At 40.6% G+C, this 22,161-nt stretch overlaps 1 long non-coding RNA gene across 1 annotated transcript in view, besides 1 other annotated feature; it reads right to left on the bottom strand.

The window, feature by feature from the left end:
* The window catches only part of HISLA (HIF1A stabilizing long noncoding RNA), a 62,797-nt gene that overhangs the window by 35,976 nt on the left and 4,660 nt on the right, over positions 1 to 22,161 (bottom strand). The gene's annotated exons all lie outside the window — the stretch shown is intronic.
* Positions 13,602 to 14,103: an enhancer, noted in NCBI's record as "NANOG hESC enhancer chr14:88503612-88504113 (GRCh37/hg19 assembly coordinates)". NCBI's record gives its function as "activates a minimal SCP1, AML or CMV promoter by ChIP-STARR-seq in naive H9 embryonic stem cells {active_cell/tissue: H9 hESC(naive)}" and the evidence as "EXISTENCE:reporter gene assay evidence [ECO:0000049][PMID:30033119]".

Raw genomic sequence — 22,161 nt, 5'->3', positions numbered from 1 at the left:
AATTACCTTATGACCCAGTAATTCCGCTCCTAGGTATATACTGATGAGAATTGAAAACACATATTACACAAAACCTTGTACACAAAAAGTTTATTACAGCATTATTCCTAATAGCCAAAAGGTGGAAACAACTGAAATGTTCATCACCTATGAGTGGACAAACAAAATCTGGCATATCCATACAATAGAATGTTATTCAGCTATAAAAATAAATGAAATAGTGATACCTGCTGCAACACATAGGTGAACTTTGAAAACACTGTGCTAAGTAAAAGAAGCCTGCCACAAAATACTACATATATGATTCCATTTATATAAAATATCCAGAATAGGCAAATCTATATAGATGGAATGCAGACTGCCTAGGGCTTGCCTAGGGCTGAAGGCATGTGGAGAATGGGAGGTGACTGCTAAAGGGTATGGGGTTTCTTTTTGGAGTGGTGAAAATTTCAACAATTGATTGTGGTAATGGATGTGCAGCTCTGAGAATATGCTAACAACCATTGAATTGTACTCTTTAAATGGGTGAATTTATGGTATGTGAATTATATCTCAATATAATGATCTATGATCATTGTCATAGATCAGGCTGAATTGAAGATCTTTATGATGAAGACACATTCATTATATGTCCCTTGCCTCTACTTCTTCAAATTTTCATTTTGGTTTTCAACAATCAACCTGGAAACTATTAGTATTTGCATGTAACAGATGGACTAAGGAAATTATAGTATTTAATAGAGTTTACTTCTTGGTTCCTACTAAATTCAGAATCACCTTTGATCACCAAGTTGGCTCAGGGTCACTGGGTGGTGCAGGATGTTTATAATTTTTTACCGTGAGTGTGAATTCTGACTCTGTTTTTGGAGAAGTATACATTTTTGAGCCTGTGTTTTTGACTCATTGTGATGGCTGCCACAGCCTGACAATGAGGCTACTTATCTGTAAATCACAGTGCCAAAAAGTGAGCTCTTTGCATGTCCCCAAGAAAAGCCAATTCTTGGAGCAGTTTATTAAGATGTCACTTTTAGAAGGGCCTTGAATCTTTATTTTCAGAACTCAGTAATACAGTGTCTTTTGTCATTGTACTTTTGTCTACCCTGATTCCAGCCATTGTGGAACTTAGATGTTTGGGTCTACGTAGAAAGAACAATGAGGGAATAATCCTTTCAGTCAATAACATTGGTTAATCATATTTTGAGTCTTGATTCCTCCACATACTAGTTGAGTGATGTTGTGCAAGATTTTAACCTCTCTAATCCGTAGTTCCCTTTTGTGTAAAATGAAAATAATGATAGTATATTCCTCTTAGGGTTATTATAGGAATTAAATGAAATAATGTAAAGGTCTTAACTCAGTTCTCAGCAAATGACAAGCCTCTGAAAAATAGTAGCCATTGTGATGATTGAAAATAATACAGGGCAGGGAGAATCTATCAAATGTACTTTTTATAGCTCGAAGAGCTGGTAAAATGACTCCATTTTCCTTCTGTAATTGTAGTTAGTAAGAATGTTTTTGTATTACGTGTAATCTTAACTTGGAAGATTTCAGTGGATTATTTCATAAGGTTGAATTTTAATTTTCTAAGAATAATTCCACATTAGCATAAATTATTGATTAAGTAAAACTTTTCTAAGGGTAGAAAATGATAAGAATTTATTTAATAGACACATCCCTGTCTTTTATGTACTTGTTTAAAAATAGTTATTTGTGTCTTGGATATCCATTTCTTCTGTAGACATCCCAACTTACAGTAGACGTTCTCCCTCCCATATCCACTATGGTTGAAACAAAGTCCCTGCCTCTGTTTAAATCACAGAGGAATATTTTGGCATAAGCAGAATCCTATGCTTTATTCTTGCTATTTTGGATTGTGACTCATGCCTTCTTGTTCCTTAAAATTATTGTCACAGGGTCAGATTTCCTGTGAACTTTGCTTGTCTATGTTGAGTTGTAGTTTTCTTTTTAGCTCCTGTGAAGGACAATGTTTCATTACCCTGAAAAGTTTAAATCACACAAATATACAGTCACATCTAGAGAAATACAAGAAGTGATTATAAGACTGTGGTCTTCTAAAAAGAGCAAGCTCTCTGGAATCAGTTAGGTCTGGGTTCCGATCCAGATTCCTCCTTGTCCAGGTTGTGTGGCCAAGGGCAAACCATTTCTCCTCTCTGAGCCTATTCCTACACATGTAAAATAGAGAGATACTACAGTACTACACACACGTGAAACACTCAGAAGATTCTTCCAGTTTATAGAAAAATCTCAACACATGTTGTCTATTATTATGAGGATTACAATTATACTCCTGATTATTGTAATCTGGTAAGGCCATTGAGACAACATTGTACTGCAATAATTCATACAAAGCAATTAGCCCAGTACCTAGCAGAGTAGACAAAAGACAGCTACTAATATAATCAATAATTTACTTATTGGAGGGAAGATGTGGAAAGAGTAAGCCGGTGTGTTAATGTTGCCTCTCTTAGAACTTTGAATAAGCCCAGCCTCAGCTCTCTTTGCGAGAGGATAATGATAATGATGTCACCAACAATGATAACTGTCATTTACCAAGCACTTACTCAAAGCCAGACGTGGTGCTTGGTACATTCTCCATTTGTTCCTCCTAACAAATCTGTGAGATGAATATTAGCATTAACCCCACACCTCAGCATGGATCTCCCCAAAACACATTCTGAGACATACATTCAGGTGCAAGTAGCTTATTTTGGAGGGAATGTCAGGAGAGTACAGCGAGGTACTAGGAAGTGACACAGAGGAGGGAGGAAGCCAAGAAGGAATAAGATAATGACTAAGTACTGCCCTGGGCAACCAAGGCCAAGAGCACAAATTTCCCCAGATGTTATGGTAAGGCAAGGGCATTCCTGCTTCTCTTTGTTGGTATGCAAACCTGTGTGTTCTAGCTACTGAGGACATGGTGCCATTTAATGGTCACTGATTTAGGGAGAATACCACATCTTGGAGGATGGCACCCACTTGGCAGGGTATTATCTCCAATCCAGTGCTTCAGCTGTACATTTAAAGAGCTGTCCCATTGCTCTAAGTGGTGTGGTGTATGATAGGATTAGTGGATTCTGGCTCACGTGCTTACTGCTATATATCATTTGTTGTAAGTAGGTTGGTTGGTGTGAAGTGAAAGCATTTCCCAAACAAAAGCCATCTCATTTTTGAGTCCAGTTAGGGACTCAAATCACCTTATGTGTCCTTATTACCTAATGTCAGACTCCAAAGAAGAATGTCTTCATCAGACTTAAGCAGCACGCAGGGTAGTAGGAAACAATTGCACAGGTGCCTTTGTTGGGAAACAAATATGAATGCAAATGAGAGTACTAAATATTGTGGAAGAGGTGGACAGAGGGTGCCTGGCCAAGCTGGGGGAAGCTGCTTGATGCGGTTGGTAGAGGCTCCCAGAAGACGGGGATGGGGAGGAGTATTAATTGTAAAAGAATGAGTCCTGGCTCTCAAGAATCCAATTAAAATCATTCAAGATTGTTATTGAGTCTAAAGCCAAAAAGTGAAAATTCACACTCCATCCTAGAATTTTGTTGTGGAAAAGGATCATCTGGTCCAACAATACCACTTTACTTAATAAATGAGAAAGATGAGTTTGGTAGGATGGGAGCCACAGTCAAAGTAGAATGTATTTCAGCTGCTTGGGAAAAAGCTGGGGTAGGAGGACTTTGTGTACACGTGGTATCATCAGCTTGAGAGGATTTCTGAGTTGGAGGATGAAGTTGACAGAACAGAGAACTGGGATTGAACAAAGCCCAGCATGGAAGGAGTCTGGATCTAGGCAGAAGAAAGAATGCTGGACACCAAGCATGGCAAAATGCAAATCATTGTCAAAGCTGGTTGCTGTGCACAGGGGCTCATCACACCATTCTCTCTGCTTTGTGCATGTGTGCAACTTTTAATAATAAATAGAAAAGTATGCAGGGCAGGTTAACTGTGGAAGTTTCATATGCTGGTGAGGTTGAGAGCCTTGTGAACATGGATTACTCAGTGAGTCTGAATATGTTGAACTTCTGTTCAAAAACACTACTTGGTGACAATTCAAAAATTAACATAGGGCCAGAAGCAGAGGGAGCTTCAAGTTTAGATGGCCCAGATGGTATATGATTGAAGTGACTCAGGGAAGAACCCCAGAAAATATGTGCCTGGCCCTAGAGCCACCAATCATGGCTGATACAATAAAGAATTCAGCATCCATCTCAACTCCTCTGTAGTTGCCTCCCTGGAAAGCTAGGAACCATGTTTTCCAAGCTTCTTTACCACTTGGTTCAACATGGGACCCAGGTTTGGTCAAGCACTTCCACCTGCACAAATATAGGAGGCAGAAGTGAGCAACAGGACCTGCTGTTGGGTGAGGGGAAGTAGCCTCTTGTGACAATGGCAAATGTGGAGGAATTAGGCTCTTCTGGGATAGCTGCGGGAAAGCTCTTGGTGTCCAGTTCCTAGTATTATGGGAGCCAAAGAACAAGAAGAATAATTCTGCTCAGTGGCGTGGTGTTCAGCCGGATTGCTCTTGGCTACGGTGGTCCTGGATGTGAGCTTTCCTAACTGGGTGTTGTTTTTTTCTGCCCTTCCCAAAGATTGAGTTGCCTCTTAATATCCTCAAACTCCTTTCTGACTAATCAGCAAAGGGATTCTTTTTTTTTTTTTTTTTGCCACTAACAGCCCAGATACAGATGCTGTCCTTGATTCCTATTTCCCCTGCACCCCCAAATCCAATTTATTACTAAGACAGATCTTTTCAATCTGTTCACTTCTCTCCTTCTCCTCTGCTGCTTCCCTGGTTCAGAACCCTACCATGTCCTGTCCACATTCCAGCCACCACATCCCTTCGGCAGCTCTCTGGTGGCTCTCACTGACCCCAGTGTCACCTCCAACCCAATTCATTCTCTACACTGACACTAGAGCCATCTTCATATAGTGTCAATATGCTCATGACACTACCCAGCACAAACTCCCCTCTCATGCATATATATCTAGGCCTTAGCCATGTGGAATTACTTTCTATTACCAGAGTGTGCAGCTATTCCTTTTATCACTAGGGCTCTGTGTATGTTGCTTTTTCCACCTAGGACACTCTTCCTCCCCTTACCAGGCTAGCTTCTATTCATATTTCAGGTCTTAGGTTAAGTGTAATCTCCAGGAGGCATTTCTTGATTTCTCAAGTTCCAATTAGGTGATTCTATAGTATCCCCAAATGTATTGTACTTGCTGTTTATTTATCTGTATCTCCTACTAGCCAAAAAGCCTTATGAGGGCCAGAATCTTGTCTGATTACTTGATAATTATGCCTCCCAAATTGGCACACAGGCTGAAGCATTGTGGGTACTCAGCAAAAAGTAGTTAAATGAAGAATAGTGTCAAATGCAACAGGAAGGTCTAAAGTTAGAGATTGCCCATCATCCATGAGTTTGGCAATCTAGTGGACTCTGATGACCTTACAGGGGCAGTTTCAGTGGAGAAGTGGCAGCAAAAGCTAGCGCCAAGTGGGCAATGAGGAAGTAGAAATGGGAAGTGCATTGGGAATCACACCCCTCCTAACTCTGTTGCTGGCCAAAATATTTCAGTCAGGTCAGCGGGCAGGAGAGGCAGTGGAAACACAAATGTATTAGATACCTGAGACATTCGTTTGTAAAAAGTGGTGTCCCAAAGAAGGGCAAAGTGACAGTTGACACACACAGGAAAAATAAGAGGAGGCAAAGATGCTAAGGCACCAACTTTAAGGCACACTTTTCCATAAGCCACAGAAGGTACAGTGCCTGGGGTCCACAAAAATGTTTAATTTTCATTTCTTTTAAAGTTAGAATAAAAATTACTCTAATCATAACATATCTGTAATAATAAATTCAGTCATGATTATGTTTGTCTTTATAATAAAATACAATTTTTAATGTTAATTGTTGGAGGAAGGAGGTCACAAAGGCAAAAGTGCCCAGAGCTCAGGGAGGACATAATGCAGCTGTGAGCGACTTTGCTGATTTTACAATCTAGTCTTGCTTGTGAGATTCATTTGGCATGAACTAGGTCACCCCCTTTCTTCTCTCAGCCTCTGGCTCCCACCTTAGCTCTCTCATACTTCCGGGGTCAACCTGGGGTGGGTGACTACATGCTCTGATATTGAGGGCACTTTGGTCTGAAAAGGTCTTGTTAGAGGTTCTTGACAAGGCTAAAGGTGATATTGCTTTTAATAATTTCTACAAAGATATTGAGTTCAGCCTTTGGGCATGTCTGTCTTAGTTTCTCCTCAGGGCAAACACAGTCTAGATGATACAGATACCATCTTTCTGGAAATGTTGAGAGAGAGAAGACCCAGATAACTCTGCCAGTGTGGCACAGTATGCGTAAACAAGAAGTGCTGACTTTGTTCTATGAGGCAATTCGAAACTATCATAAATGACTCAATAGATAAACTAACTTGGGGAAATTAAAAGGGGCCCATGGGCAATGATTACTTCCCCTTTAAGGAAGCTAAGGACCAAAGAAACTTACCAGAAAACACTTTAACTTGCAGACTCATTTCCCAACAAGGTAGTCTTTGTTCCAAATAGAAGTCTCATTTGCTTTAGATAATGTAGACCATCAAATTGTGTGATTTCTTAATTTTACAGGAATCTCAATGTTTCTTGTAAAAGAGATGAAGTTTTTCTGGCTCCTGGTGTACAAGGAGGGCAGAGGTCAAAACGAGGACTTCTATCTCCCAAAGCTTTTCCTTTTGGAAACCACCTGCCACCAACACAGAACAAAGCCACAGTTGTGGGAGATGAAGCTAAAACCATGCATGCTCCATCCCAGCCCATTCAATGGCTTTGGAGCAAATGTTCTGTCTGATCAGAGATTCTGCAGGTACAGTTTATATTGAGTCATTAATCCATTCATCCCTTAAGACCCTTTCCAAGCCCCAGATGCTGGTGATGCAAATGTGAATAAAACTCCATCCCTGTTTGCTTTGCTAACACTTTTCCTCATAGTCCATACATATTACACAATTGTTAATCACCTCTCCCCTCAATCAGACCATATCTCCAAAAGAGCACAGACTTTGCCCTTTGTTTACCCCTGTGAACAGGGAGCACAGAACAGTGACTAGCATTTAGTCACTGTGCAAATATTTGTTGCATGATTTTGCTGAAAGAATTAATTATTGAGATTATTTCACAAAAATTGCTTAATCCTGGACAAACTGCTAAAAAGAAAAGTCCATAAACTCCATTCAAAGTAGTTTTTATTACCATTTCCAAGCATCTGGTTTTGAGAGAATTTATAAAGACATGATAAAATTAACATGGAAGCATGCTAATTTTACCAACACTTTTCTTTAATAAAAATGCAACATAAATATGTAACAGGGAACTACCAAGCTCTGTATAAACCTCTTAGAAGCTATTCACTTTGCAGATTTGAACTTCACTTGACCTGGCAATGATTCGAATTTATATCTTTAGTAACTTTTAAATATAGTATTTGCAAGCTAAACAATGCAATTCTTCTTTTAGTCATTTAAAATAGTAGTTCCTTCGTACAAGGCTAGATCCTTTCTTAGGAAAAATTAATCTGTTTTCAATAATCTTTGCACGTGTTCAAAACCTGGTTGGCCTGTATTGACATTTCAAAAGAAAACAGACTTGGATTCTGAACCAAATCAAACAACTCTCCAGGAGTGAGCCATTTGGCTTTGTAAAATAATCTGGTAGAAGGAGTTCAGTCTTAAGAGTAGAAAGTATAGAAAATCAGTGTGGCGATTCCTAAGGGATCTAGAACTAGAAATACCATTTGACCCAGCCATCCCATTACTTGATATATACCCAAAGGATTATAAATCATGCTGCTATAAAAACACATGCACACGTATGTTTATTGCAGCACTATTCACAATAGCAAAGACTTGGAACCAACCCAAATGTCTAACAATGATAGACTGGATTAAGAAAATGTGGCACATATACACCATGGAATACTATGCAGCCGTAAAAAATCATGAGTTCATGTCCTTTGTAGGGACATGGATGAAGCTGGAAACCATCATTCTCAGCAAACTATCGCAAGGTCAAAAAACCAAACACTGCATGTTCTAACTCATAGGTGGGAATTGAACAATGAGAACACTTGGACACAGGAAGGGGAACATCACACACCGGGACCTGTTGTGGGGTGGGGGGAGGAGGGAGGGACAGCATTAGGAGATATACCTAATGTAAATGATGAGTTAATGGGTGCAGCACACCAACATGGCACATGTAGACATATGTAACAAACCTGCATGTTGTGCACATGTACCCTAAAACTTAAAGTATAATAATAATAATAAAAAAAGAAAGTTACTATGTGGAATGATTGTCTCTTGATATCTAGAATTCCATATTGATGAGTCATTCCTTGGGGTCTCGAAGTGCCTTTTAATCTTCTGATTTTTCTCCTATGAACCTGGGAGGACTGAAATATCCTAATGTGTTATCTGCTAATCATATGCCTTTAGAAACCAGACAAAGATGAATTAGTGAAGCAGAGAGGTACATGGAAACAGGGAGTTTGGGGTACTGTAAACTCTCAAGTACCTGTGCCATCCAATTTCTAGCCAATAGCAACTTTATGCTTTTCATTTAGAAGGATGGCCGTCTAGCTGGGCAGGAATGGGAATGGGTTGGCAGAAGAGGAATGGAGAGAATGGGATGGGGTACTGGTGTTCGAAGCTAACTTTGCATAGAAGTTTACATTAAAAAAATATAACACAACAGCCATTCTCCATACCAAGGAATGAGGACAGAGTCCTGATGGAAATTATATGGAAAGAATAACTAGAGCTGCCTTAAGCCCCACCTTGGTGTTCCCTGGATCAAGTCCATTGTTGCCCTTTGAGAATTTGGGCCCAGTTTTATCATAGTGGTTGCTTTCTCTAAAGAAGCTGAGCCTTCTGATTTTTACAGAATATGTTCTGGTGGTGGCGGTGATAGTTTAGACTGAGTGGGTGGAAAAGGCCTGTTTGATAAGATAATATTTGGGTACAGTCTTGAGGAAAGTGAGTGAGTGGGTCATAACATAACAGGGCCAAGAGGCTTTCAGGAAAAAGAAAGGATTGCATAGCCCTGCAGCAGGAATGTGCTTGCAAGGCAGTGCATAGATTATTGCCCTGGAATGGAAGGAATGGGATGAAGAGTGGACACGGATGAGAGGAGAGGAGGAGCAGGCAACACAGCATGGAAGAACAGAGATGTCCAGTAATGGCTTTGGTGAGAGCAGAATGGGAGAAAGAAGAGGAGCTACCAGAGGGCTTTGAGGACAAGAGTAGCATGAGCCAGTCTGAGTCTTAAAGGGTCTACTCTTGCTAATGCTGTGGGGAGAATCATTTATAAAGTAGCAGGAAGAGAACCAGTTAGAAAGCGTATTGATTTGGATGAAGTTCAGTGGTGAGAGGAAAACCCAAATGACAGTGGCTTTAGGTAGAAGTTAGTTTCTCTCTTATTTATAGATTCAGACATCAAAATCCAAAAGTAGATGACAGATCTGTTTCACCAAGTCCTCAGGGACCCCAAGACCTTCCAACTCACTGCCATGAGTACAGTGGAAAAGAATAAACATAAGGATGTATCCCTGTGGTCTAAGTGGTCATCTCTGTACTGAAAAACAGGATGGAAGAACAGATTTAAAAAAAGGAAGAAAGGATACCTTGGAGCTATCTCTTAAAGGCTCTATAGATATTTCAGATTACATCCTCTTGGTCACACTAAGCTACAGGAAATGTTAGGAAATATAATCTACATTCTGGAAGACCAAGTACCCAGATGAAAATTGTATTTGCACAGGATATAGGGAGGGAACAAGTAGTTTTGTCCACAGGCTACTATTGCAGTAATCTAGGTGGGAGGTGATGGTAAGGGGGTCATGAGAAATGGTCAGATTCTGGATATGGTTTGAGGTGGAGGCAACAGGATATGATGATGCACTGGCTGTAGGATGTAAGGAAAAGAGTACAGCTAGAGATCATGAAGGTTCGGGCTTAAATAAATGAGAAATGGAGCTACTTTTATGGAGCAACCTTGAGGGTAAAGATAATCAGGAGTTTGATTTTGAAGAATGTTAATTTCAAGATACTAATGAGACACCCAAGTAGAGATGTCAAGAAGGCAGTTGGATATGCAAGCCCAGAGTTCAACTGAGACGTCTGGCTTAGAGCTAGAAATTTGGGATCCATCTGCATAGATTTGGTATGAAAACCTATAAAATTTGACAAAATCTTCTGGAGAATGAGTGCAGATGGGAAAGAATCAACATAAGGAACTGAGCTTGGGGCACTCCAACATTTAAGGGTTGGGGAGATGAGGAGGAGAGACCAGTAAGGAAAGCAAAGAACCAAGAAAGAATAGTCCATGGAGAAAAAAGTATTTCAAGAAGTGAAGGATACACTGTATCAAATACTACTGACAGGATGACTAAACTGAAGATTAGTAATTGGCCACCGGATTTGGTAAGATGAGGATCACTGGTGATCTTGATGTAAGTTGGTTTAAAAAAATTTTTTTTTGAGACAGAATCTCGCTCTGTTGCCCAGGCTGGAGTGCAGTGGCACGAACACAGCTCATTGAAGCTTTGACCTCTTGGGCTTAGGCGATCCTTCTGCCTCAGCCTTCCCGGTAGCTGGGGTCATAGGTGGAACACAGTGAAATGGTGAGTATGAAAACCTGCCTGGAGTAGGCTCAAAAGAGAAAGAAATTAGAGAAAGGAAGACAGTGAATATAGGCAGTTATTTTCAGGAATATATGTATAAAAGCTAGCAACAAAATAGGACGGTAGTTGCAAGATAATGCAAAGTCAATTTTTGGGGGGTTTTTTGTTGTTGTTTTGAAAGATGGGATATATATTAAGATGTTCTGTGAGTTAAGGAAAGATCCAGCATAGAGGGAAATTTTGATGATGCAGGAGAGGAGAGAATTGTTGGAGTAGGATTCTTAAGTAGATAAGAGGAAATGTGCCCAGTGCACATATGGAGGTTTTGGCTTTAGAAAGGAGCACAGACAATTCACCCAGGAGGGATGGCAAATTACATAGGAACAGATGCAGGTAGGCAGTGGAGGAAGTGTTGGGAACCAACGGAAATTTCTCCCTGATTGCTTCTTTTTTCTTATTTAAGTAGAATTCTAGCTCATCAGCTGAGAAAGAAGAGGAGTGAGGAGGAACTGGACAGTTGTGGAGAGAAGAGAAAGTATGAAATAGCTGTGCATGAGATTAAATGAATGAATGAATGAATTATGGAAATGTAGTGAGATTATTGGGCAGCACTATGGATTTATTTTGCATCAGCAGTCATGAGTTTAAAGTGAAACTAGCCACAGGAAACTTGTGAGTGTGGGCATAGGTAGAGTTGGATGAAACCAGAGCTGGGGTTTTGCCAGGAGAGTGCAACAGGGGAGTCGGGGAAGAGAGATAAAGATAGGAGAAGAGAGGATGGGAGAGAAGAGATTGAGTGTATTTATTTAAAATAGTCATAAGAAGGGACCATGTAATCTAATCTGACCAAGAGTGATGATCAGATTAGACAGTGTAAAGCTCTTAGATTCAATAGATCAACTGTGGACTTCCTTGGAAAAGTTGGCATATTCTGCATAAATAGACATTGTTACTTTTACAGTGATGTGTTAGAGTATTCTGAACTGCAGTTGAAATAAAACCCAAATTCCAGTGGCTTAAAAACAAAAAGTTTTTATAATAGGATTTGGATTGATGTCAGCTCTCCTCCACAGTCACTTAGTGGTCCCTATAGAGCCATTTGGGGATAGCTCTGCCATCCTCAATATGTGGCATCTAGAAGTTATACAAAGCTTTGCCACACCAATCAACCAGTAGAAAGAAAGAACATATTGGGATAAGTGTGAGGTTTGTATGGGCCAAACGTAGAGGTGACATGTGTCACTGCAATCATGTTTCACTGAAGAAAACTTGGCCACTTCACTGCGAGGGAGGCTGAGTAATGCAGTTTAGCTCTGTGCCAGTAAGAAGGGGAGAATGGATTTTTAGTAGGTAGCTAGCAACCTCTATCACAGTTAGCCCCTTTTGCTGCTATCATCCTTTACATAAAACATACGTGCATATTACTCTGGGGAGAAAACCCAAAATTTTGTCCACTTATTGAATTGTCTACTTGTTGATATCAAAGTCGAGGATCTCCAAATGATGCTCTGGCCTCTTCTGAAAGTCCAGATACAGTTCCTTGAAGTTCAGCATCCTTTGAACTAAAAGACCAGTTATCTTTGCTCCATCTGCCTATTCAATACACAAAAGTGGACTGGCTAACCACACTAAAAATGCCTAAAGAATTCCCTGGTCCAGAGCAATAATGGAATCCTGTAGGGTAGGTATTGCAAAGATCCCCAAACCCTAGAAGAAAATGTTTTGATAGACCCTGGGTCTGTCCTCTGCAAGGAACTTTCTTCCTCATTTTCCTCTGTCTCTTGGCTCTGACCTCCTGGAGAATATTTTTGTCCGTTAGCCTCCATGGACCCTTATACGGTGAATATTGAGGAGTATGTTACTAGGAGTTGCACATCTCCCAGAGCCCACTTTCTGCTGTTACATGAGGGTAATTTTACAGATTCAAGCTTGTGGTTTCCTGGGCATTACGGTTTTCTCAAAAACTCGATAGGTATCTGACCTATTTGTTTCCAGTCAGTTTCATGTGCTCGTAAATAACCCCCAAATTCTTTTCTAGACCTGATCTAAGGTTTGTCTTCCTGGAGCATACCATCTATTCCGCCATCATGGAATCCACATTGAAGTCTAAAATAGCCTGGGTGGCAAAGCAACTTTATTGATATTATCTTTGCCACTTGGCTGGATCTCTCTCTCTCTCTCTCTCTCTCTTTTTTTTTGATCTGCAAATCTTATCTTTTCGTATTTGAGGTATAGAACCCAAGAGTTTTTTCAGCCCCAAGAAGCTTTGTATTTTTTTTTCCAGTTCCACTTTGGCTGGCAAACTAACCAATTCTTGCTTGAGTTTATCTGTTTCTTGTAGCACTTGATTAAAAACAACAAATAGCAGTTGACATACACTAATATTCCTACTCTTTTCACCTGCTTTCCCTAAAGCCACAGACTCAATACGTTCTTGGTCTACCTTCCAAATAATCACAGATGATAATTTTTAAAGTTATCCATGGATAACATGAGGCTTTCACTTTCTAGCCACTCATAACCATTTTATTCCTGCCTTCAGTCTGAATGCTAAGCTAATACCTTCCATTTTAGATGTTTGTTATAGTGCTTACTTTTCGGTACTAGTTCTCATATGAAATAAGGAAGATGGCAAACACAGGGACCCAAAACATCCAGTAGCTTACAAAAAATGTTTTCCTTTCTCAAGGGGGAGGTTTAATCAGCAGCAACAGCGATACTGTTTTTCAGGGATTCAGATGTTCTAGTGAGTCTGCCATTTTCTACTCCTGGCTGCCAACATTGCCTCATGGTCATCATCCCAGTCAGCCAGGAAAGATGAGGAGGAGGAGGAGCATGAGTGGGTGGTTTCAGGACCATCTAAACCTCATTTTACAGATAAGAAAACTAAGAATTTGGCTAAGGTCACATAGCAAGAGTTTAGTGTGGTATCTTTGGGACTAAAATTCAGGTCACCTGCCTCCCACCTCATTACAGCATCCATCACACACACTTATATCCAGTCAAGCTACCCTGACCCAGTAGCACACTCCATGTCTAACCTCCTGCTGTGAAATGCCAACTGCTTTTCAGTCTGCATTAAACCATGGAGCCACATCGTGAATGTGCCATTGGAGAAATACAACAGGATGAATTCTTAACTTTCAGGCTCCCTATTGTCCTCATATATATTACTCCAACTCTCCACAGGGAATCTGAGTTCCAAGGGGTGAGTGAAACAAATTCTGCATAGCCATTACCTCATGTTAACAATGGCTTGGTGATAAACATCCATGGATTGCAGGATGCCTCTAGCAGGGACAGCAGCTTGTTTTTCACAGGGCTTGTTCTAGAAATGGACATGGAAAGGGAAAACAACTTACGCTTGTTTGTTTTTGATCGAAAAAGTGGGCAAATTTAAAATGCATCGGTATGTATTCTTATACATTTGTGTGTCCTGGTTATTTCTTGCAAAACATTCTATGTGGCTCCAGTCATTCACACATAGACCGGCAGTAGTGTTTCCCAAAGGGACCCTTAAGGAATTCTGTTTCTTTGAGATATTTCATGAGAGCATGCAGAGAGAGCTGCAGTCTGTCTCTTGCCTCTAGAAACATCACCTTTCTCATTAGCAGATAAAAGGCCTTGGAAGTCCTTTCATTTAGCCCATTTCCCAAACTTCTTTGATCATGGAACCCATGTTGATTTTTTTCATGTACCGTCCTTAGAACTCAGGTTCCATGGGACACTCTTGGGAAGTCCTGGCTTATGAGTATCCTCCAGGAGTTTAACACCCTGGAGGGGGACTTTTGGTCACAATGACTCTCTGTAGAACCTCATAAATGCAGTTCTAGCTGTGAGCCTGTCACCAAGGTGACCACCGACATCACCAAATTCTCTTTTGTCACAATGTGACAGTATCTTTCCACTTTCCCCCTACTCCTGAATGTCTAAAGAACTCTCAATGCATATTAGCCATCACCATGGTTGAGACCCAGACCTCTGCAGAGACAATCTTGATCCTCTGGCTCCTGCTTCACATTGCCCATTCACCCTCAGCACTGAAATCCTTACCTCAAGCGCTGGGAATTCAGGCCATGGAAGATTAGGAGGCTCACAGCAGGTTGCTTTGCCCTTTTTTTCCCTATTCCTTTTTGCATTTTCTTCTGGGTCTCTCAAAGGCCATCTAATTCTTCTCTGTCATATGCATAGATTTTGGGAACTACTTTGTTTCCTAAGCATGCCCCTGAGAGGACTCACCCCTTACCCCCAGCAGCTTATCAAAGTATTTTTGTATTTCTGTCAAACTAGTGGAATGCTGCTCCAAGAAGAATTCTGATTACATTTTTCCATGTCGTTGTTATGGAAGCTGTATCTATATAAAGTGGGAAGATGCCAATAAGGGTCCTTGCTCCTTGAGTGTAAGCTCCCCTATCTTTAATCTCTCTGTTGGTCTAGAAGTGTGGTAAGCAACCCTGGTTGCACACGACAACCTTTTGAGCAGCCTTCAAAATACAGATATCTGGGCCCCAATTTCCGAGATTCTGATTTAAACGGTGGAGTCCATGCATCTACTTTTTAAGCACCAAGGCAATCCCATTGTGTGCATATCAGAGTACAATATAACTGATTGAGAACATGGAGTCATTGGAAGTAGAAAATGCCATTCACTATCAAATCATCATAAAGATGAAATAACTATTCCACTGATAATACACCTGATCACCCAAGTACCCACTCAGCTATTCTGTTCACCCACAGCTCTTCAGATACAGCTTTTCTTCCAGATGCTCAGAAAAGTGTGATAACATAGTAATTTATTCCTGCTCCTGCCCATTGATCTCCAAGCTTGTGAAAATGGGAAAATAAGGAATGTCTAGGCACTTTACTGATACATGTCCTTGGTATAATGTTACACTTAAAATTTACAGTTGGGGATGGATTTTCAGCCAGCTTCCATGTGCCCAGTCGAGGGCACTAGTGACTGGCTTGCTACTTGTATGCAGTTGGTACAATTTGCTCATCTCAGAGGTGTGGGGAGGCAGAGTCTATCAGAGATTGTTCATGAAGGTAGCTGCAGTAGTACCAAAGTGAGGTGCTGAACAGGAGTGATGGGGTAAAGGCAGCTCAGTAAGACAGGGGCAAGCAGTCCCACATCTTGTCCCTAACTCACTGTTCTGAACTGCCATCCTATCTTCCCACTTTTGCCTCAGGAGCAAGTTATCCTTCAAGATTCAGGACAAATGTCACTTCCTCAGTGAAGCCTTCTCTCCCTCCTTGGTGTCTCCATAATACTCTGCTTAGACTTCACATATATCATGTGTTTTCCTACTAGATTCTGAACTCCCCGAGAGCGGCAACCCATATCTTAACTCTCTTTGCATCAACAGAGCCCAATACAATGCCTGGCACAGAGTAAGCCTCAAATATGTCTATGATATAAATTTTCTAATAAAATGTCTATGGTATCTATTGTCTATCTCAGAGTGAATTTAAGAAATTCAACATCTCTTACAAATCTAGATCATTCACTTAACAGAATGGCATTACCATATTATCAGTATGCACAGACAATCAACCTCAAGCTCTGCTTCGGGGATATATAACAACTCTAACTCTTATCTCACTTGAGAATGGGGGAAAATGATGACTAAATTGAAGGCCACTAAAAAATGGTAGGGAAGAGAACAAGGTACAACATCGTTTTGTTTAATCAGAACCAAGATGAAACCTCATCTGCATAAAGATACTTCAGTGCCTTCTCATCCCCTGAAAATGTTAAGCATTTTCTTAAAAAGAGATTGCTGCGGTTTCTAACATGTGCCCAGGGTTCTGGGAATCAACTAACCCTGTTGCTTCCCTGCTCACCTGTGCTGGAAATCTCAAAGGAGCTCAGGGAATCTGGGCCTTTGCTCACTTGTTTTCAGGAGGCATGGGGCATTCCTATCTGGAGGCTGCTGAGAGTAACTCCTCTTGAAAATTTGCAGCTAGCTAAATCCACTATGCTTTCTTACCAGATGTGATCCTGACACCCAGAGATGCTAAGCCCAAATGCCCTCAGAAGTCAGGCAGGGAAGGAGAATATGTGGAGTAACATCGTCGTGATTGGTAGGAACTGTGGCAAATAGGAAAAACGCATGCTCTGCCTAAAGATATTTAAGTTCAGAAGTTTTTCTGGAAGTTGAGCCTGCCAAACAAAATACATCTCTAGGCCAATTTATTCAGAAGGCCTAAGTTTTCAATTTGCATATGGCCATTTTCCTTTCCTGCATTCCTACCCCATACCTCCATGTAATTTTTTGCCCTTGACCCGAGAGTAACTGGGAGTGAGGTGCAGGCAGAAGATGTGGCACTGGGATATGTTGTAATTGAATGTTATGAGGGCAATGATAATTACACAAAATTTTGAGTGGGATGTTTCTTAACTGCAATGAAAGACTTGGCACAAGAAAACGAGAAGCTCATGACAGCCAACTGCCAAGTAAAGACACCCTTAAAAAGTCAAAGTGTTCTATGGCAACTTTGAAGGAGACTCTTATTTCCTGCAGACTGCTGAAAAGCAGGCCCAGCATCTAGTTTTCAGTGTAGCAGAGCTGCACAGGTGACTCAAGGCATAGCCCCAACAGATCTCATCTGTCAAAGTTATTGCCCTGATGGGAAAAGAGTGGGACCCCTAACTTGTATTAGGAATATTTGGGTATATTATCCTGAGAGTTCTGAACTCCGAGATGACCCTGAACTCCCCAGGATGGCAGAAGCAACTGATTCCAACTTGCCTGAGGGGAACAGTCTCCCCTTTTCTGGAGGCAATGAAATGACACCACTTAAGGCAGGTGCTTTGCAATATGGCACTAGTTCTCTTCCAGATCCAATTCTCATTAGTTTCAGGCCAATGACCAGAGTCAGGTCTCAGCACAGTCTGATCAGGGAAGTACAACCTCTGCCCCAGGAGGAATAGTCTATACTGAAAAGGATTTTCAGGACCTGGAACACATGTGGAAGTAGATCTAGAGAGCATTGGCCTGGAGTGGGAAGACAGATATAAGGCTGCGTAGGGAGCATTTTCAGCAAGGGAGAGCTCATTCATCACTTGGATTTCAATGCTTTGGAAATATCTCAAGATGATTCTGAAAATCTGTTTGGATGGATTCTTTAAGCTTATACAGGATGATGGCCTTCAGTAAATGAGGTAGAGATGCTAGGACTTTCTTGATGTATAGTATTGAAGAAAGGATCAGAAGGATCCTAAAGATGGGGCTGTTAGAATTAATTTATTATGTAACACATGCACACGTATGTTTATTGCGGCATTATTCACGATAGCAAAGACTTGGAACCAACCCAAATGTCCAACAATGATAGACTGGATTAAGAAAATGTGGCACATATACACCATGGAATACTATGCAGCCATAAAAAATGATGAGTTCATGTCCTTTGTAGGGACATGGATGAAATTGGAAATCATCATTCTCAGTAAACTATTGCAAGAACAAAAAACCAAACACCGCATATTCTTACTCATAGGTGGGAATTGAACAATGAGATCACATGGACACAGGAAGGGGAATATCACACTCTGGGGACTGTTGTGGGGTGGGGGAGGGGGGAGGGATAGCATTGGGAGATATACCTAATGCTAGATGACGAGTTAGTGGGTGCAGCGCACCAGCATGTCACATCTATACATATGTAACTAACCTGCACAATGTGCACATGTACCCTAAAACTTAAAAGTATAATAATAATTAAAAAAAAGAATTAATTTATTATGTAACATCTAAAAACATATCACCCGGCTGTGTTCATTGAGGGAACACAGAATATCTTCCATTAACCAAAGAAATAAGGAATGCGGTGGTCAGAGGGTACAGACAATTGTTTAGAAGTTTAATGGAAATTGTCTTTGTAAAAGGACTGAGGGTTGGAGATGCTGCCATTAAATTGGGCTGTATATTATCAGCAGGGATGACAGGATTCCAGAGTGGCAGAGCTTGGGATTCTGATAGTTGAACTATAAGAAACATGGTGGACATAATGTCTATAATGAGCACTAAGGTCAGGCTGTCAATCAAAATGCCCTAATGGGGATCTTTGGTGTTGGCTAATAGACCATGGTGTTCTTAGGTGTGAGATAGCTAGACTGCTGACAAGGATTGCTGACTTGCACTATTTTATTTTAAAAAATGGAGAACTACAGAATAGAAGTGTTAACATCAGTCACCGCAATGAAATCTGTAGTCTTTCTTCCAGTTTCAAAATTTAAGTTATTTTGTAGACCTAGAACCCACTAATTGAAAAGGAGACTGAGTTCCCTTAAGGAATAACATTGCAATGCTATTGAAAAAATATATATAAATATGAAATATTCCTTGTAATCCTTCCCAAAAGGGACCTGTGGCCATTGATAGACTATTGTACACTGGGGAAGGCAGTACGTATATTTGTTTTTGAGCACTGTTAAATATGGGATCCGAGTTTTCCGATGCTAGTGGACTCAAGTCTTCATCATGGAATTCCAGTTAGAGTGGGTATATGGAAGCTAGGTGATAAATGAAATGTTAGCTCAAGTTTATCTCAGTTATTTTTCTTTTTTTTTATTATTATACTTTAAGTTTTAGGGTACATGTGCACAACGTGCAGGTTTGTTACATATGTATACATGTGCCATGTTGGTGTGCTGCACCCATTAACTCATCATTTATCATTAGGTATATCTCCTAATGCTATCCCTCCCCCCTCCCCCCACCCCACAACTGTCCCCGGTGTGTGATGTTCCACTTCCTGTGCCCATGTGTTCTCATTGTTCAATCGCAAGGACAAAAATTCTCAGTTATTTTTCTAGTCTCCAAATACACAGTTATTTTAAGCATCTGGCAGAACCCTCCCATTGTTTCTCCGACTTGTAGATTAAGGGCCATCATGGTAGCAAGGGCTCTGTGGAAACCCCTGAAATTTCTGCAATTCCTTCTCCTCCTACATATACACAAATGCGTGCACACACACACACACCCCTATGTACACATCCATGCCCTATATGGTAAATAAGAAGCAATCTGCATCCTAAAAGGAATTACACAATGTGTAATTCTTTTAATGTGTAAATCTTTATTACACATTAAAGATTTAAAGGATGAAGGTGTGGTGGTCTCATCATATCCCTATTCAGTTGGTTTATGTGTATCCTGAAAAAAACATATGGGTCATTGGAGACAAAATGTGGTACCTTTCATGAAAAAGATCAACATGGTCTTTGGCGTTTTATATGCAGCTACTAATCTGGAAAACACTTTGTTTTTAAGTCAGGGGTAGGCAAACTACAGCTCATGGGCCAAATATGACCACAGACTACAAAAGCAGAGTTGAATAATTATAACAGAACCACGTGGCTAAAAATATTTATTGTATGACCCTTTACAGAAAATGTTTGTTGACTAGATTTCCATCAGCAAAAATGATCAAAAGGAATTTGACTTTACATTTAGAGGGGCAACTCTACATACTCACTCTTGTGTTAACTATCCTGTTCCCTGTCACAACATAATAGCTAGGTATTTCCATCATCTTAGCCTTCTGCAGAACGTCATGGTATAACACTTGTCTACTGTATTGATGATGTCATGGTTATTGGAAATGTTAATACCCTAGGTGACCCAGTAAGATACATGCATATCAGAGGGTAGGTGATAAACCCAATGAAGTTCAGGTTCCCATGATATTGGTCAACTTAGTAGATATCCAGCAATCCAGAATATGCTAGGACATTCTTACAAAGAAATAAACACATTGTTCTACTTGCAACTCCTACCACTAAGAAAGAGGTACACTGCTTGGTGAGCCTTTTTGAATTTTGGTGGAAGAATAGACTGCATTTAAAAATACTGCTTTGGTCTATATTCTGGGAGATATGGAAGTTTTTCCTGGGCCATAGTTAACAGAAGGCTCTGCAGGAGCCTTCTGCAGAGCCAGACTATTGAACTATAAAACTCAATAGATGTAATCGTGATAGAGCTCTCCATGATGAAGGAATTGTAGGAAATGAGAATCTCCTTCAAAGTTGACAAAGAGTTATCTGGCTTTTGCAGACTGCAATTTCTTTTGCAGCTCCTGGCCTGCTACCGGATATTTGTAGAGATTGAATGCCTAATTATAACATCACAAGACACCAAGTGTGAGCTGTTTCTGAGTCCATTTAGTATTGCTATAAAGGAATAGCTGAGGCTGAGTAATTTATAAAGGAAAGAAATTTATTTGTCTCACTGTTCTGCAAACTGTACAAGAAACATGGTGCTAGCTTCTGTTTCTGCAGAGGGGCCCAGGCTACTTCCACTCATGGTGGAAGGCTAAGGGGAGCCAGTATGTGCAGAGATCACATGGCAAGAGAGGAAGTAAGAGAGAGAGAGAGAGAAGGAGAGAGAGAGAGAAGTAGAGGTGCCAGACTCTTTAAAAAGCAGCTGTCATTGAAACTAAAAGAGCAAGAACTCACTCACTAATGAGAGTGGTACCAAGCTATTCATGTGGGATCCACTCCTCGTGGGCCAAACACCTCCCACTAGGGCCCACCTCCAACATTGGAAATCAAATTTCAAGATGAGATTTGAAAGGAGCAAATATCTGAACTACAGCCAACTGTGTATGATTAAATCCACTAAATCATAGATTGGGTTAGCCACAGCAGCAATCTACATTATGGAATGTCGTGCCTGGAAATGGGACTGAGGCAGGTCCAAAAGGCAAGAGTAAATTGCACAAAGAGGTGGCACAAATTTGCATGTCATCTGTTTCTATCACTCTGATACCTTTTATCTCATCTTGCACTTATGGCTTATAGGGGATTCCCTATGACCAACTGATAGAAGATTGAAAAAAAACTTCATGCCTGGCTCACAAGTGTGTCAACAGATGCTAGTCAAAAATACACTGCTGACATATTATAGATCCACTCAGTGGTATCTCTAAAGAGCAGCGGTTAAAGTAAATTAGCCAGCGGGAAAGTGGTGAGCAGTAAATTTGTCATCCACTTGACATGAATAACTGGTGAGGAGTCTGGAAGGAATCAAATAGAAAACTGGGGAATGATGATGTCACAGGATGAGGCATATAGATTGACCTATAAAAATGGACACAAATTTTGCAGCTATTACTACCTACCAGAGAACATCTACCACCAACAGTTCTCTCAGCAACCAGTGGGGAAGGCTACCTCATCATGTATGTCACTTCATCTCTCTCTCATTGACTGCTTCTATGCTGGACAGTGAGCCCAAGAAAAGGGTGGTCTCATGGCAGAGATAAAGGTTTGCATGAATTCCTTCTAGTCTAGCTAATGGTAGTCTTGAATGCTCAATTTGTCAACAGCAGAGATTGAGGAGATCAGCCAGTCTCTTGGTATCAGGTAGATTACAATTAGACATCTTCTACCCTGGGGGTTGGGGAGGACAGAAATTTGTCCTTGTAGGAATTGATCCTTAATGTGAATAGACCCTGGGT

Source organism: Homo sapiens, chromosome 14 (genome assembly GCF_000001405.40).
Source record: "Homo sapiens chromosome 14, GRCh38.p14 Primary Assembly".
NCBI classification, from domain to species: domain Eukaryota; kingdom Metazoa; phylum Chordata; class Mammalia; order Primates; family Hominidae; genus Homo; species Homo sapiens.
This window is presented reverse-complemented; position numbering and strand designations above follow the sequence as displayed.